The sequence below is a fragment of the Homo sapiens genome, chromosome 19, assembly GCF_000001405.40.
Source record: "Homo sapiens chromosome 19, GRCh38.p14 Primary Assembly".
Taxonomy (NCBI): Eukaryota; Metazoa; Chordata; class Mammalia; order Primates; family Hominidae; genus Homo; species Homo sapiens.
Window position 1 is genome coordinate 6,101,356 of NC_000019.10, and position 17,182 is coordinate 6,118,537.

The following is a 17,182-nucleotide window of genomic DNA, read 5'->3' on the forward strand; positions in this document are numbered from 1 at the left end:
TGAGAAGGACAGGAGAGGTGGGAAAAAGGCCTTCGTGTTATTTTCTTTGGGTTTCCACTGGCCTGGGTGGAGCCCGCATACATTTTTGTGGGCTGGTAATTTTTTTGGAAACTGCTTCTAAGGCCTTTCCCCACAGATCACCTTTTGGACAGAAATGTATCCTTGGAAACATGGCACAGTTTCTAAAAGATAAACAGTTTGCATTTTTAAAAAAGTATAATTAAGTGCTGTTGCAGCTTTAGGAATGGACTTCTATATCATTGGTATAATTTCAACAGTTTTCCAGGAGACAGGCGTTCATGAGTCAAGCCTTCTGCCTTTCTGTGGGGACCCAATCCTTTTTCACATGGGACTTGGGCAAGTCTAATCTTTCTGGTTGCCATTGGATCTCACTCTTCATGGTGCTCAGTTCTTGAAGTTATTTCCTCCTTTGCCTTTTGAGCCTCTGTCCAGGTTCTCCCTCTACCTAAGAGTCCCTTTGAGATCTCTGCTTAGCATGGTTCACAATAGCTGTAAGGTGGAAACCACCCAAGTGTTCATCCATGGATGAATGGGGAAACACAATGTGGCATATCCATGCAATGGAATATTCTTTAGCCTTAAAAAGGAAGGAAATTCTGATGCATGCTACAGCATGGATAAGCCTTGAAGACATTGTGCTAAGTGAAATAATCCAGTCACGGAAACACAAATACTCTATGATTCCACTTATATAGTGTATAGTCATCACATTCACGGGGACATGAAAACATGGGCCGCCCAGTCCTGAAAACATGGCCACACCCCTCTCCCCCATCTGCTGCCTGCAGAACACTATTCTCAAGATGCAGTTCAGATCCACATCCTCTTTTCAGACCTTTCCTCAGCTCCAGGGACAGCTGGCCTCCCCACTTTGTCTGCCCTCTGTGCCCTGTAGAAACATCTAGCAAAGCCTATTTGATACTGACTCCTCTTCCTTGTTGGTCTTTGGTCTTTGTAACTGGATAGGATAGCACTTTACTCAAAATAGGCAATGAATAAATGAATGAAGGATGAATGAATGAAGATTGTATGAATGAATGATGAACAAATGTCAGGAGTCTGAAAAGCAGGTCTTCCGGTAAATGACTGGACACCTTTGATCTGACAGGTACCGGCTGATGTGAACTCTACCAATGATCCAGTTTATACTTCGAATAGCATCCAAACTTTGCCCATGGCCTCCAAGGCCCTGCAGGTTGCCCCTGCCTCTTCTGCCTCTCCTTGCTTTGCTCGCCAGGCATCAGCCACACAACTGCAGGACCTTTGTACCTGCTGCCCCCTTCCTGGAAGGCTCTTCCTTCTGAACCCCACAGCGCTGGTTCCCTCTCCTCATTTCAGTCTCAGCTCAACTGTCACCTCCTTAAAAACTGCTGGACGCCAGGAGCCCAGTCCGCATCACACGGCCTTGCTTTTTTGTCTCTACTGTTCAATTTTTCAGCCAAGTTCAAATACAAGAAGCCTCTTATGGCCAGGCACAGTGGCTCACATCTATAATCTCAGCTACTTGAGAGGCTGAGGCAGGAGGATTGCTTGAGCCCAGGAGTTTGAGGCTGCACTCCAGCCTGGACAAGAGAGCGAGACTTCATCTCGTTTTTTATTATGAATTACCCATCCCCCAGTCTCAGACATATACACAAACACATGCACACACGTCCAAAAAAACTGCAGAGATCTTAGTAGAAATAGGCTTACCATATATAGCACATCTGGGCTTCATTATGTAATAAATGACAAATAATCACTATATTGGACCATTACATGTAAGTTCTACATATTTTTAATGGCTTTTCAGCTTTTTCTCCACTTTGAAACATGGACTGTAGCAGGTGTAAATGGACTGACAGCATTTAAAATCTATCTGCTTTATGTATCATCTACAGGCAGTGGCAAGTCAACTGTACTTTTTAGAAAGTCATGGAATTCACAAACATTAAAAATAAGAATAAGGAATTGCCAGGGCATACAACAGGGTTTTCAAACATGCAAGACCTATGTATCATAAAACAGGAATGCACTTTCAGGAAAAAACAACTGAGGTGCAGCAAGGCCAGGCCGTCTGCTCCTAAGGGCCCAACTCAAGTCCTGGCACGAAGACCAGGCCAGTCCCCGGCTCCAAGTGGCTCATTTCCAGACTCTGACTGTGTTGGCATCCAAGAGCCAGTGATAACAGAGAAGGGAAACCAGTCTTAAAATGTTCTCATCTGTAGAGCTGGCCACTCCCCAAAACTCATCATAAATGTGATGTTTGGGGAGTCATTTCAGAGGGACCCATGCCACAACCAAGATGTAGGACTCCAACAACTTTTCGTGCTGTTTTTGTTCTTACGAAGCACTTATGTTTGCAGAGGGACATATTAGTACCCATGAGTTTCTAGGTTAATTTAAGGGAATTTCCTACCCTAAAACAGACAGCATGAGGCCGACCACTCAGTCAAGCAAGATGTATGTACTAAACGCCTCCTTAGCATTTGGTCCTGGTCAGGAAACCACAGTAAAAAACTGATCATCCCAGGCCACTTACTACTTATTTGCTTCATCCTAATAATAATAATAATAACAACAGTTACTTTTTTCTGAGCACCTATTAGATGCCAGCCCCTGTGCTAAATAGCTTATAGAAATTATTTCTAATATAGCAACCACACGAGCTATTATTATCGATTTCACAGATGTCAAACCTTGCCCCAGAGCCACTAAGCTAATAAACGGTGGCACCACAATTTAACTCCTTCTCTGCTGTGCCCCAAAGCCCTGGTCTGCAACACCCAGCACTATGACCTGCAACTTTTCCTTTCCTCTTTCCCCTGCCCCATTCATCCAGATTCATCCAATTTGGGCTCTACTGACTCAGAGATGGCAATATGAACTTAAGGTACCTATGAGCAATTCTTAATTTAAAAAAAATTTTTTTGGCCGGGTGCGGTGGTTCACGCCTGTAATCCCAGCACTTTGGGAGGCTGAGGTGGGCGGATCATGAGGTCAGGAGATCGAGACCATCCTGGCTAACACGGTGAAACCCCGTCTCTACTAAAAATACAAAAAATTAGCCAGTTGTGGTGGTGGATGCCTGTAGTCCCAGCTACTCGGGAGGCTGAGGCAGGAGAATGGCCTGAACCTGGGAGGTGGAGCTTGCAGTGAGCTGAGATGGTGCCACTGCACTCCAGCCTGGGCAACAGAGTGAGACTCCATCTCAAAAAAAAAAAAAAAATTTTTAAGGGCAGGGTGTCGCTATGTTGCCCAGGCTGGTCTCAAACTCCTGGGTTCAAGCGATCCTCCTGCCCTAGCCTCCCAGGTAGCTGAGATTGCAGGTGTGAGCCACCACACCCAATGCAGCTCTCAACTCTTCATTTCTACATATGCTTTCCCCATAAGTGTCAAGGAAACCATTTGTTTATTCATTTCACAAATATTTCTCAATTGCCTACTCAGCACCAAAATTCTTCTCAGCCCTGGGGATATAGAAGTTAATAAAACAGCTCATGCCTGTAATCCCAGCACTTTGGGAGGCCGAGGTGGGCAGATCATGAGGTCAGGAGATCGAGACCATCTTGGCCAGCATGGTGAAACCCTGTCTCTACTAAAAATACAACAATTAGCTGAGCGTTGTGGCACGTGCCTGTAATCCCAGCTACTCAGGAGGCTGAGGCAGAAAAATTGCTTGAACCTGGGTGTCAGAGGTTGCAGTGAGCCGAGATTGCACCACTACACTCCAGCCTGGTGACAGAGTGAGACTCCGTCTCACAAAAAAAAAAAAAAAAGAAGTTAATAAAACAGAAGTTCCTGCCCTTACTGAGCTGACATTCTAACAAGAGGACAGTGATAATACAATAAATACGTATAACTTATGGTGTGTTATATAGGAATAAATGCTAAGGAGACAGAGAAAGCAGGGAAGGAGGCTGAGAGCACCCATTCTCAAGTGGGTGGCCTGGTGACATCTGAGAAAAGGCCTGAAGAAAGTCGGAGAGCCAGCCCTCCAAATACCTGGGCAAAGAGCTTTCCAGGCAGAGCTGGAATGAGCTTCCAGAGGCCAGCAGGGTGGAAGTGCAGTGAGGGAAGGCATCTAGCTTGGCGATGAGGTCAAAGAGGTATTAGGCTTGGCGGGGAGTGGAGTTAGGGGTGACTTTGGCTTTTGCTGCAGATGAGATGGGAGCCATCGGAGGGTTTCGAGCTGAGGGGTATGAAGTAGAACTTAACATGACGCCGCCTCTCCCAGGGTTAACAGGCCCCGTCTGGCTGCTGGGCTGAGAGACTGCCGAGCACCAGTGGTGGAATCATCCGGGCTAGATGCTGGTGGCTGGGACCAGAGGGGCTGGCAGTGGAGGTGGCGAGGCATGGTCAGGTTCTGGGGAACTACTGAAGGTGGAGTCAACAGGATTTGCTGATGGCTTGGGAGAGAGGAGTCAAGGACAGTCCTGAGGTTTGGCCTGAGTAATGGGAAGAAGTGAGTTGATATGTACCAACGAGTTTGGGGGGTGCTTTGGGAGGAGTAGATCTGGGGGGACTATGACAGGCTCAGCTTGGCCACCTTAAGTTTAAGGTGCCTGTCAGAATCCACCTGGATGTACCCAGCAGGCAGCTGGATAGATGTTTTCTGCAGAGAAGAGCTTAGAATCCTAAGCCAGTCCAGAGCTTCCCAGGCTCCAGTTCCCTATAGGCCTGTTAGGGCCTCTCTCTGGACCTTTTGCCACTCCTCCTTCACCTACCCTTATCCCTTTCGCCCACTTCATTCTGGGTCTTCCCCTATATTTTTTTTCCTGGGAGAATCCTTTTGCTGATCTTAGAGTTTCCAAGAAGCAAGTAGGTGGTTTTCAGTTTTTTCTCTAATTCCCAGTGTATATTCCATCGGCCTGCCCATCCATCCATCCATCCATCCATCCATCCATCCATCCAACAAAATAAGACCTTTCACTACACCAGGCATATGTCTACATGAGAGAACATGAGAACATGACCAGCAGAGGAGCTAATTGCCATTTAAATTCTAGAGACGGAGTCAAAACATCTTTTTAAAAAATACATAAGCCCACAACCCCTTACAACAATACTGAAATCCAGGAAACTCTGAAAACTGGCAATTTTTTTGTAAATTTGGCATGGACTCACTTGGTGACAAAAGCTGGCCTGAATTGACATGAAGTTACTTATGGTCCTTCTCTTCCCCACTTCGGGTGAATATTCATATAGTTCAGTTCAGAAATACGGCTGTGTTTAGTGGGAATGCCCTGGACCCATAGTTTCAGAGACAGGCCCACAGACTCGCATTCTCCTCCCCTGCAGTTTAGTGAGTGTCCTGACAAGCAAGATGAGAACTTCCCTTGGTTTTTCAAAAGTTTCCTATTTTACAAGTAAGTGGGTACCTATGGGGGTATACTGTTTAAATGTTTGTAAATATTTAAATATATTTGTTTTATATTTAACATATATTTATATTTAAATTTTATTATATTTAAATATATAAGTATATATTATATATACATGTTTTAATATTTCAATATATATTTTAAAAATATTTAAATATTTAATAAATAGATGTCAACTTTAGAAACAAATATATATTATAAGATGTGGTTCCTTCTGGCCCCAGCATTTTATGAGCAAAACAATCACTAGCTACTATAAAAATCCACAGGTGCCGGCCGGGCGCGGTGGCTCACGCCTATAATCCCAGCACTTTGGGAGGCCAAGGTGGGCGGATCACATGGTCAGGAGATCGAGACCATCCTGGCTAACACAGTGAAACCCCGTCTCTACTAAAAAATACGAAAAATTAGCCGGGCGTGGTGGCAGGCGCCTGTAGTCCCAGCTATTCGGGAGGCTGAGGCAGGAGAATGGTGTAAACCTCGGGGGTGGAGCTTGCAGTGAGCCGAGATGGTGCCACTGCACTCCAGCCTGGGAGACAGAGCAAGACTCTGTCTCAAACAAACAAACAAACAAACAAAAATCCACAGGTGCAGGGGCCGGGTTTGGTGGCTTACGCCTGTAATCCCAGCACTTTGGGAGGCCAAGGCGGTTGGATCATTTGAGGTCAAGAGTTTGAGACTAGCCTGGCCAACATAGTGAAACCCCATCCCTACTAAAAATACAAAAATTAGCCGGGTGTGGGGGTGCATGCCTGTAATCCCAGCTATTCAGGAGGCTGAGACAGGTGAATCCCTTGAGCCTGGGAGGTGCATGTTAAGGTGAGCTGAGATCTTGCCACTGCACTCCAGTCTGGGTGACAGAGTGAGACCCTGTCTCAAAAAAAAAAAAAAAAAAAAAAAAAAAATCCACAGGTGCATTTAAAATTTTGACTCGATTATAATATTAAAGTTAAGCCAATTTAATATTTTTATTAATTATAATGCTAATGTAAAACTAAACAATTAGATCTAAGGAATAAGACCCAGATAAACAATTCCCCAGCACCTGCATTTCTGGTGGACAGAACCATCCTTAGCAGTACTTCAATGATAAACAATGTTAAAAGATGAGTATTTACATTTAAATATACATCACATACACATTATATTATATTGTTGTATTTAAATATACATCACACATACATTAAGGTAATGCGTGCCCTTCACGCAGAAAGCAAAGATCAAGTGATTTCAAAGAACTTGTCCTGTTATTGAGGTAATAACTGTCTCTCTCTTCTCAGATTCAGTGGTTTATAAGAAAGAACTTAAAAAACTAAAATATTTCAGTATTGCTTTTCCTGCAGGAGCAAACTATTTCAGAACTCATTCCCAACCCAAGTCCGTTGAACTGTCACAGAATCACAGAACAGTGATCTTTCCCATCATACATTATAAGTTGCCTTCCGTACCACGCCTGTTGATGAAGAAGCCCTAGTAATTCAAGAACTTAAATTCTTTTCCTAGGGAGGTTACCATAAACTCTTACTTCTCTGGTCAGAGTAGGTGAGTTGTCGTTTCTAAGGTTATTTTAGAGTCAGTTCAAGTCTTTAAACTAGAGCAGGAGAAAGCACAGATGCCCCCCTCCTCCTTATCCAGAAGGACGGGAGGTAAGGATCTTTCCATAAGCAAACAATGTTTCAGGGCACGATGTAAAAAGATAAAATACATGTCAACAATATGTACAGGCAAAAATTTTTTTAAAAAGTCTTTGTTGTTTTGTGTCATTATTATTATTACTGTTACTTTGTTGGGGAACTCTTAGTTGAAACAGAGAATGAAGCTTGTACAAGGTTTGATACAGAGATGAAGCTGACTGAGAGGGAAAAGAACTCATCGAAGCCTGCGCTGGTCATTTATGATACAAAGCAGGAAAATAATTGCAGGGAGGCACAATGCTAACAACACCCCAAAGTAGGAATGAAGCCTGGGGGGGCGGGGGTAAGGCAGCCAGCCCTGGGTCCCGAGCTCCATCTTGCCCTCTCCCCTCCCCATTCTTGCCGCACAACCAGGAGGTTAAAATAGGAAGATGAACCGCGCCGGCAGCCGCCAGAATGGCCCGGGCGCTTGGGGCCCTCGGGGGCCCTTGAAATAGCCACTAGGATCGGGAAATCCAACTTTCCCAGCGGTGCAGCGAGGAAAACCAAAAGGAACGGAGCCGGAGGCTGGTGGCGAGGGAGCGCGGAGGCTTCTCGGAGGGAGGAAAAAGAAAGAAATGAGCATTTGGGGTGTGAGTGAGTGTGTGTGTGTGAGTGTGTGTGTGCGCCCGCGAGCGCGCTGGTGGGCGGTGGGGGCAGGGGGTGGAGTTTAAATCCACAAACACACACACGCACTCGCACTACCTCGGAGAAAATGCCTGGAGCAGTTTAGGTTCTTTAACAAAATAAATAAATTGAAAAAAAAAAAAAGTTTCACTCGCGTTGGTGAAACTTTTCTCCCTTCCAGATCAGTCCTAAGAGGAGAGCTGCGGACGTGCGGAGGGGCATCTTGGGGGCACGTGGAAAGACTGGCGGACGCACGAACCCCTATACTCAGGAATATGGGGTCACAGGGAGAAGGGGAGGGGGTGTCCGAGGCGACCTGAACGCGAGGATTTGGGGCAAAAAGGTGAGAAACAGTTCCCGGGGAAGCTCGCTCGGGGAGTTTGGGATGAAAAGGTGAGAAGGGCAAGAGGGGTTCTCCCCAGGGCAGACGCACCAGCTTTTAGTTAAGGAATGAGAAAAAGGTTCCAGGGGTGCCCCCAAATTCAGTATGTCTGGGAGTCCATTAAAAAGGGGGTCCCCGGGACAAGTCAGATCTAGGAATTTGGGGTAAAAATGAGAAGGGAGTCTTCGAGGTCCCCCCGATGCAAGAAGTTTGCGACTAAGAGTGACAGAAGGGCTCTGGGGTCACCCCAATTTCGGAGGTTTGGGGAGTAAAGTAAGAAGAGGGCCCCAGGTGGCCCCAATTCAGGGAGTTTGAGGGTATGAGTAAAAGAGGGGTCCCCGGGTGTCCCCATCTCAGAGATCTGGGGAGTAAAAGTGAGGAGAGGGTCCCCAAGCGCCCCCAATTCAGAGAATTCGAGGGTTTGAGTAAAAGAAGGGTCCCTGGGTGCCCCCAACTCAGAGATCTGGGGAGTAAACGTGAGAAGAGGGTCCCCTGGCGCCCCCAATTCAGAAAATTCGAGGGTATGAGTAAAAGAGGGGTCCTTGGGTGCCCCCAACTCAGAGATCTAGGGGGTTAAGGTGAGAAGAGGGTCCCCAAGCGCCCCCAATTCAGGGAGTTTGAGGAGTTTGAGAGACGTTCCCGGGGCGCCCCCAACTCAGCGAGTTTGAAGGTAAGCGTGAGAAAGGGGTCCCCGGACGCCCCAACCTCAGGAAGTTTTGTAAAAAGTGAGGCGACGGCACCGCACCTCCCCCGCGTTCAGTCAATAAGGAAAGTGGGGACGTCGCCAGGGTCCCCCCAAACTCCGCCGCGCGCGCGGACGGGGTGGCGGAGGCGGGTCCCGCGGGCGCACCACCCGGACGTTTGGGGTGAGCGGCGGGGACGTGCTGCCCGCCCCCCGGCCCCCGAACGGGGTCCCCGCCGCCCCCCACACTCCCCGGCCGGGCTGGGCCCGGGGCGGTCGCATCGGTCACCTGGAGTTCGGGCCGGGAGTTCGGGCAGCGGCTCCCGCGGCGGCGGCAGCGGCTGCTGCGTGTTGGTCCCCGTTGGTAAGTAACAGTCTCCACGGCTACAGTCTCTATGGCGGCGGCGGTGGCGGCGGCGGCCGCTCCTCCTCCGGCTCCCGCCGCCAGCCAGCCTCGCGCAGCCCGCCCGCCCGACGGGGCGGGGCGTTGTTACCGGCAACGGTTACCAGGCTCCGCGCCCCACCTTCCTAACGGCCCGCCCACGCTCGCCTCCAACGGGCCCCCAAGAGGGCGGGGCGCGAGACCCTACGGCGTTCCATTGGCTGTCTGCAGAGTCTGTCGGAAGGAGGAGGCGTTCCCCCTTGAAAAAGAGTGCGAGACTCGGCCAATGGCCGCGAAGAGGGGCGGGTCTTGGCGGGAGGCGCGCGCGGCTCAGAGGGTTGGCGAACCGGTCGCGCGCGCGGCGCCGTGGGTTGGTGGCGCGTTTTGGGAAAGTCCAGTTTTAGGGGACCCAAGGGACTCCGTTTACCCCACAGGAGGAGTGTGGGACATGTGGGAACAGTCTGATCAGGGGTCAGCAAACTCTCGCTCGCCGCCTGTTTTTCACGGACCCCCAGCTGAAAATTTAAATATATATATATTTTTTACATGGTTAAAAGAAACTATCGGCCGGGCGCGGTGGCTCACGCCTGTAATCCCAGCACTTTGGGAGGCTAAGGCGGGTGGATCACGGAGTCAGGAGATCGAGACCATCCTGACTAACACGGTGAAACCCCGTCTCTACTAAAAATACAAAAAATTAGCCGGGCGTGGTGGCAGGCGCCTGTAGTCCCAGCTACTTGGGAGGCTGAGGCAGGAGAATGGTGCGAACCTGGGAGGCGGAGCTTGCAGTGAGCCGAGATCGCACCACTGCACTCCAGCCTGGGCGACAGAGCGAGACTCCGTCTCAAAAAAAAAAAAAAGAAAGAAAGAAAAAAAAAGAAACTATCAAAAGGAGCTTTTGTGGGGTGTGAACCTGATAGGAGACTCTCTTTTATTGTATTGGGCCCAGTATTTTGAACTAGTTTAAAGATTGGCAAACTGCGGCCTGCGGGTCAAATTCTGCCTGCTTGGGTTTGTAAATAAAGCTTTATTGGAACATAGCCACGCCCATTTCCTTGAACAGCTTGGAAGGCTGCTTTGACACTACAGGGGCGGAGTGGAGTAGTTGCGCAAAGACGGCATGTCCCACGCGAAGCCTAAGATATTTACTATACGGTCCTTTACAGAAAATGTTTGCCAAACTCACCAGCCCTCCTCTCAAGCTGGTAGATTCAGCTACGAGTAGGACAGAAACAGACAGATCCTCATAGAACTTTTATTCTAGTGAGGGAACATTGACAGCAAACAGAATAAAGAGGTAAACATATAGTTATTCGAGACAAGGGGCTGGAAGAATAGGAGAAAACAACTTGTACTGAGAAAAGGCAGGAGATTAGGCTTCAGCCCCACTCATTCATTCAACAAGAAATCATATTAGTGAGCACTGATTAAATTGCTATGTGCCTGAAAGTGATCTAAGCATTTTTTAAATATGCAAACTCATTAAATCTTACAATCGCATCTTTAGAAAGATGCTAGGCATTATCCCCGTTTTTATTTGTTTTGTTTTTTCTTTTTTTTTTTTTGAGACAGAGTCTCTCTCTGTCACCCAGACTGGAGTGCAGTGGTGCGATCTGGCTCGCTCACTGCAACCTCTGTCTCCCGGGTTCAAGTGATTCTCCTGCCTCAGCCTCTCAAGTAGCTGGGACTACAGGCGCCCGCCACCACGCTCAGCTAATTTTTGTATTTTTAGTAGAGACGGGGTTTCACCATGTTGGCCAGGCTGGCCTGGAACTCCTGACCTCAAGTGATCCGCCCGCCTTGGACTCTCAAAGTGCTAGGATTACAGGCATGAGCCACCATGCCCGGCCTTTCCCCATTTTTCAGATCAGGAAGCTGAGGCCCAGAAAGAATGAGTGAATTTGCCCAGTGTCAAACAGCTTGTGAGGGATCGGAACCCTAGTAGTCTAGTGCCAAAGTCCATGCTCTTGATCACTAGATGGGTGGTTTTCAAACATTTTTGACCACAGCATACAGCAGGAAATACATTTTACCTAGGGGCTCAGTCCACACAAACATATCTATAACTAAAACAAATGATACTGTAACTAAAGTACCGTGAAATGATACTTTAACGCACTCTGATATTTCCTGTTCTGTTTCATTTTAATTAAAATGTTGACGGTGATTTGCTAAATTGATTTCATCATCTTCTAATTTTTTTTTTTTTCTTGAGACAGAGTCTCTGTCGCCCAGGCTGGAGTGCAGTGGCATGATCTCGGCTCACTGCAACCTCCGCCTCCCGAGTTCAAGTGATTCTCCTGTTTCAGTCTCCCGAGTAGCTGGCGTTACAGGCACGCGCCACCACGCCTGGCTAATTTTTGTATTTTTAGTAGAGACGGGGTTTCACCGTGTTGGCCAGGCTGGTCTCAAACTCCTGATCTCAAGTGATCCACCCGCCTCAGCCTCCCAAAGTCCTGGGATTACAGGCAGGAGCCACTGCGCCTGGCCATGTGACAGATTCTTAAGCTCAAGTGGTCTACAGTAATCAGTCCCTTTCATTCAATTATTAATTTAGTCAAAAATATTTATTGAGGTCCAAGTGCAGTGACTCAGCAGGAGGATCGTCTGAGGCCAGGGGTTCAAGACCAGCCTGGGCAACATAGTGAGACCTTATCTCTATAAAAATAAAATAAATTAGCCAGGCGCAGTGGTGCACACCTATAGTCCCAGCTGCTCAGGAGGCTGAGGTGGGAGGATCGCTTGAGCCCAGGAGTTCTAGGCTGTGGTGAGCTATGACTGTGCCTCTGAACTCCAGCTTGGTAGACAGAGCAAGAACCTGTCTCTAATATATATATATATACATTTATATATATACACACACATATATACACACACATATATGTGTGTATATATATAGTATATGATGATAGATAGATAGGTAGATAGATAGATAGATAGATAGATAGATAGATAGCGCCTACTATTTGCTAGGTGCTAGGGACACAGGTGTAAATAAAATAGATAAAATTCCCATGGCCATAGGAAAAGTGATACAGTAGTGGCTTGGTGGGAGAAGTGGGTGGGTGGGGCTTACCTTAGATAGAGCAGCCAGAGATGATCTCCCTGGGATATCCAACAATCCTGCTTGGCCCAAGACTAAGGGGTTTCCCAGGATATGGGAATTTCAGTGCTAAAACCGGGAAATCCCCAAAGCGGGAAGAGTTGGTCACCCTGGGTCTCTCTAAGGAGCTGACATTTGAGGCAACGTTGGAGTAACGAGGAACAAAGGAAAATAGTTTGGAATTCGAAATCCCTGGGGTGAAAGCTGATGTGGAAGAAACAGAAAGCAGGTCCTTGGGCACAGCTGGAGCCAATGAAAGGGGAAGAGCAGTGAGTGGGTGGGGTGAGTGAGTCAGGGGATGATATGATGGCCATCATTTTATTGGAGGCCGTAGGGAAGAAGTCACGATCAGACTGGGAAACCAATGGAGGGTGTCTTTTGTTGTTGTTGTTGTTGTTTGTTTTTGAGCTGGAGTCTTGCTGTATCGCCCAGGCCCACGCTGGAGTGCAGTGGTGCGATCTCAAGTTGTAGCCTCGGGGAGTAAGGTGACCGCCTGTCCTGGAACTGCTGGTCAACCCGTTTAGCTAAGCTAGACCTCTTCCCGCTCCCAGCCCTGGCCAGAGGCGGAAACTGTGGCCCCAGTTATCTCAAAAGACAAGCACAGAGTAGCAAAAGACAAGCCAACAGGTGGCAAATTCTTAGAGTCCTGCTTTTGTGCGGCACATTTTTGTAAATTAAGGTGACATTTACATACCATAAAATGAGCCATTTTAAAAGGAAACAGTTCAGTGGCATTTAGTACATTCACTATGTTGTACAACCACCACCTATATCTAATTCCAAAGCATTTTCTTTTTTAATTTGTTTTTTTTTTTATGATGGAGTCGCCTGTCACCCAGGCTGGAGTGCAGTGGCACGATCTCACCTCACTACAACCTTCGCCTCCTGGATTCAAGCGATTCTCTTGCCTCAGCCTCCCGAGTAGCTGGGATTACAGGTGCACGCCACCATGCCCAGCTAATTTTTGTATTTTTAGTAGACATGGGGTTTCACCATGTTGGTCAGGCTGGTCTCAAACTCTTGACTTCAAGTGATCCGGCCCCCTTGGCCTCCCAAAGTGCTGGGATTACAGGCGTAAGCCACCTTGCCCGGCCCCCATGGAGGGTTTTAAGCAGGGGTGTGTGCGGGGACAGGTGGGGTGGGGAGTGGGTGGAATGTCACCCGATCTGTGATTTTATTTTATTTTGTCAATTAATTATTTTTTTAAGAGACTCTTGCCGGGCGCGGTGGCTCACGCCTGTCATCCCAGCACTTTGGGAGGCCGAGGTGGGCGGATCACGAGGTCAGGGGATCGAGACCATCCTGGCTAACACGGTGAAACCCCGTCTCTACTAAAAATACAAAAAATTAGCCGGGTGTGGTGGTGGGCGCCTGTAGTCCCAGATACTCGGGAGGCTGAGGCAGGAGAATGGCGTGAACCCGGGAGGCGGAGCTTGCAGTGAGCCGAGATCGGTGCCACTGCACTCCAGCCTGGGCGACAAAGTGAGACTCCGTCTCAAAAAAAAAAAAGACTCTTACTCTATCGCCCAGGGTGGAGTGAAGTGACACGATCACAGCTCACTGCACCCTCAGACTCTTGGGTTCAAGGGATTCTCCCACCTCAGCCACCCAAGTAGCTAGGACTATAGGCATGTGCCACCAAGGCTGGCTAAATACAAGAATTTTTTTTTTTTTTGTAGAGACAGGGTCTTGATCTCCTGATGTCAAGTGATCCTCCTTCCTTGGCATCCCAGAGTACTGGGGCTACAGGGATGAGCCACCATGCATAGCCTAAACTATAATTTTAAAAGCTCAGTTGAGGCCAGGCCCAGTGGCTCATGCCTGTAATCCCAGCACTTTGGGAGGCCTAGAGGGGTGGATTACTTGAGGTCAGCCTGGCCAACATGGTGAAACCCGGTCTCTATTAAAAACCCAAAAATGAGCTGGGTATGATGGCAGGCACCTGTAGTCCCAGCTACTCTGGAGACTGAGGCAGGAGAGTAGCTTGAATCTGGGAGGTAGAGGTTGCAGTGAGCCAAGATCGCACCACTGCACCCCAGACTGGGCAACAGAGAGAGACACCATCTCAAAAAACAGAAATGAAAATAAAAATAAAAATGAAAGCTCAGTTGAGCCACCTCATGGGGAATAGATTGTAGGAGACAAAAGGGACAGAGAGAGATCCTAGGAGTCTGTCCCAGTTCTCCTGGGTGGGAAAGTATGGTGGCTTGGTTTAGGGACCTGGTAGTGGAGGCGGACATGAGTGGGTGGACTGAGGGTACATTTGGAAGAACACTCTAGTGGACTAGATGTGGGGAGTGAAGGATAACGTTTTAGGGTGTGACAGGAGGTGCCTTGTAGCTGGTTTGTACACTCCGTTCTGCTAGAATGCTTGTCTTTGAAATGTCAGTTAGTCCCAAAGTGGTGGATATAATAGGAAACAATTTGAGCACAATGTGGATTTTGCCTTCCTTATGCACAATTTTGTCTGCAAGAAACACTAGGTAAATAGAAAACTGCACCTGTCTGGACCAAATCGTGTAGGACTGCACAAAATATGCATAAGCACACATCTGAAATATCTACCAGCCACCTCAGCTTCCTGTGAATTATGAGCCACATTTATCTATGCCTAGCATTACAACTTTCCATCTGATTACAGATGACTTTTCTACCTTTTCACAATAACTCACAAGCTGCAATCCTTCAATAGCAACTTCCTCAAGCAAACTTCAGCCCTTTTTCATGGCAATGTGGCATATTTACTATAGTATTTATATATTTCTTAACTAACCAAAATGTGTAAAACTCTTCAATCTCAAAGAAGAAATCATGAGGGAAATTAGAAAATACATTAAGGGCCAGGCACAGTGGCTCACACCTGTAATCCCAGCAATTGGGGAGGCTGAGGCAGGTGGATCACCTGAGGTCAGGAGTTTGAGACCAACCTGGCCAACACAGTGAGATCTCATCTCTACAAAAATTAATTTTAAAAACTTAGCAGGGCGTGGTGGCATGTGCCTGTGGTCCCAGCTACTTGGGGGGCTGAGGCAGGAGGATCGCTTGAGGCCAGGAGATGGAGGCTGCAGTGAGCTATGATCACGCCACTGTACTCCAGCCTGGGTGACAGAGAGAGACCCTGTCTCTTAATAAGAAAAGAAAAGAGAAATTGCTGAAGTGCCACATTCCTGTTGACATAGGACACCCAGGGCAGACAGCGAGGAGACAGATGAAGCTTAATTCTTGAATGAATGGAGGTAAGGCTGATATTTTCTCCTAGTGGACTCTGGTCCAGTTCATTCCAGAGACAAAGCTTTGCCTCCTTAAAGTAGCCACTTGAACCATGTTGGAGGACCTTGTTGGGCACAGCTTGGAGAGGAAATAGCAGAGCTGAAGTCTGCAGCAGAAGAAGCCACAGGAGTGGATAACCAGGCAGTGGTAGAGGGAAAGGGGTGTGCACAAGGCAACACCTGACTCCCTTGCTCCTCTTACCTAAGGCCCAAGGGCAAGTGACACCAAGGAGGAATCATTTTCAGGATGGCCAACTCATCCTGGTTTCCTTGGGACTTTCCCACTTCTAAAACTCAAAGTTGCAGTTCCCCAAAATGTAAAAAGTGGAATTCCCATGGGATCCAGCAATTCCACTCCTAGGTGTCTGCCCACAGGAAGTGAAAACTTAGGTCTTCACAAAAACTTCTACATGAATATTCCTAGCAGCATTAGCTCATAAAGCCAGAAAATGCACACAACTCCAGTGTCCATCCATGGAGGAACAAATAAACAAAATGTGATCTAGGCCGGGCGCAGTGGCTCACGACTGTAATTCCAGCACTTTGGGAGGCCAAAGTGGGAGGATCACTTGAGGCCAGGAGCTTGAGACCAGCCTGGGCAACAAAGTGAGACCTCCATTTCTAAAAAAAAATTTAAAATATTAGCCAGGCATGGTTGCACACATCTGTAGTCCCAGCTACTTGGGAGGCTGAGGCAGGAGGACTGAGCTCATGAATATGAGGCTACAGTGAGCTGTGATTTCACTACTGTATTCTAGCCTGGGCAACAGAGGCTCTGTCAATGAAGGAAAAAAAAAGAAAGGAAGGAAGGAAGGAAGGAAGAGGAAAGAAAGGAAGGGAGAGAGAAAAAGAGAGAGAGAAAGAGAAAGGGGGAAGAAGGGAAGAGAGGGGGAAAGGAAGGGAAGGAGGGAGGGAGGAGGAAGGGAAGAAAGAAAAGAAAAAGGAAGGAAGGAAGGAAGGAAAGAAAGAAAGAACAAAAGAAAGAAAAAGGAAATTACCTAGGTGTATTCCCAAATTTTTGGCTGTGAAATGAATTCTTTGCCTCACATCACCCCATAATAAAGCTGTGGTAAAGCTTCAGTTCCCATGGAAGGCTAGTGAGGAGGGTTAGGTGTCTAGAGACCTGGGTTTGGAGTTAAACAGGTGAAAATGGAGCTGTTTTGAAGGCAAGGGGCACAACAGAGTGTTTGCATGCCCAGAATCACCGATTTGAAACCCCAGCATCAAATGATTCCAAGGATGGGTCTCTGTCACCTCAAATAGTCTGTGAGTAAAAAACATAATTTAAGATGAGGCATTGAGAAAAAGTGGATGACAAAAACCTGGAAACACCCTAAACAGCCTACAATAAAGCACTGATTACCCAAAGCAGCATTCAGCTAAACAATGAAATATTATGCAGCAATGAAAAAGAATAAGATGCAACTATCCGAGCAGTATAGGAGAATGGCTACAATCTACTTATTAAACAAAAAAAGTAAATGCAGTACAGTGTTCACAGTGCACTCCTATTTGTGTTTTTAAAGAAAGATATTTATTTAAAAAGAGTACCCTTTAAAGTAGTACCTTTTAAAGTAGTAACCTTTAAAGTGTATATCTACCAGCCAGGCATGGTGGTTCATGCCTGTAATCCCAGCACTTTGGGAGGCCAAGGCAGGTGGATCACTTCAGGCCAGGAGT

General features: G+C 47.4%; 1 protein-coding gene across 7 annotated transcripts in view, besides 2 other annotated features; it reads right to left on the bottom strand.

The window, feature by feature from the left end:
- RFX2 (regulatory factor X2) overlaps positions 1 to 9,145 on the bottom strand; it is a 117,337-nt gene extending 108,192 nt beyond the window's left edge. For all 7 annotated transcript variants that reach the window (XM_047439198.1, XM_017027107.2, NM_134433.3 and 4 more), the window contains exon 1: positions 9,038 to 9,145. The gene's annotated coding sequence lies outside the window, so the exon portion shown is untranslated. The remainder of the gene's footprint in view (positions 1 to 9,037) is intronic.
- Positions 7,659 to 8,159: an enhancer, noted in NCBI's record as "H3K4me1 hESC enhancer chr19:6109025-6109525 (GRCh37/hg19 assembly coordinates)". NCBI's record gives its function as "activates a minimal SCP1, AML or CMV promoter by ChIP-STARR-seq in primed H9 embryonic stem cells {active_cell/tissue: H9 hESC(primed)}" and the evidence as "EXISTENCE:reporter gene assay evidence [ECO:0000049][PMID:30033119]".
- Positions 9,007 to 9,466: a silencer, noted in NCBI's record as "silent region_9944". NCBI's record gives its function as "represses an Ori minimal core promoter by ATAC-STARR-seq in GM12878 lymphoblastoid cells {active_cell/tissue: GM12878}" and the evidence as "EXISTENCE:reporter gene assay evidence [ECO:0000049][PMID:35858748]".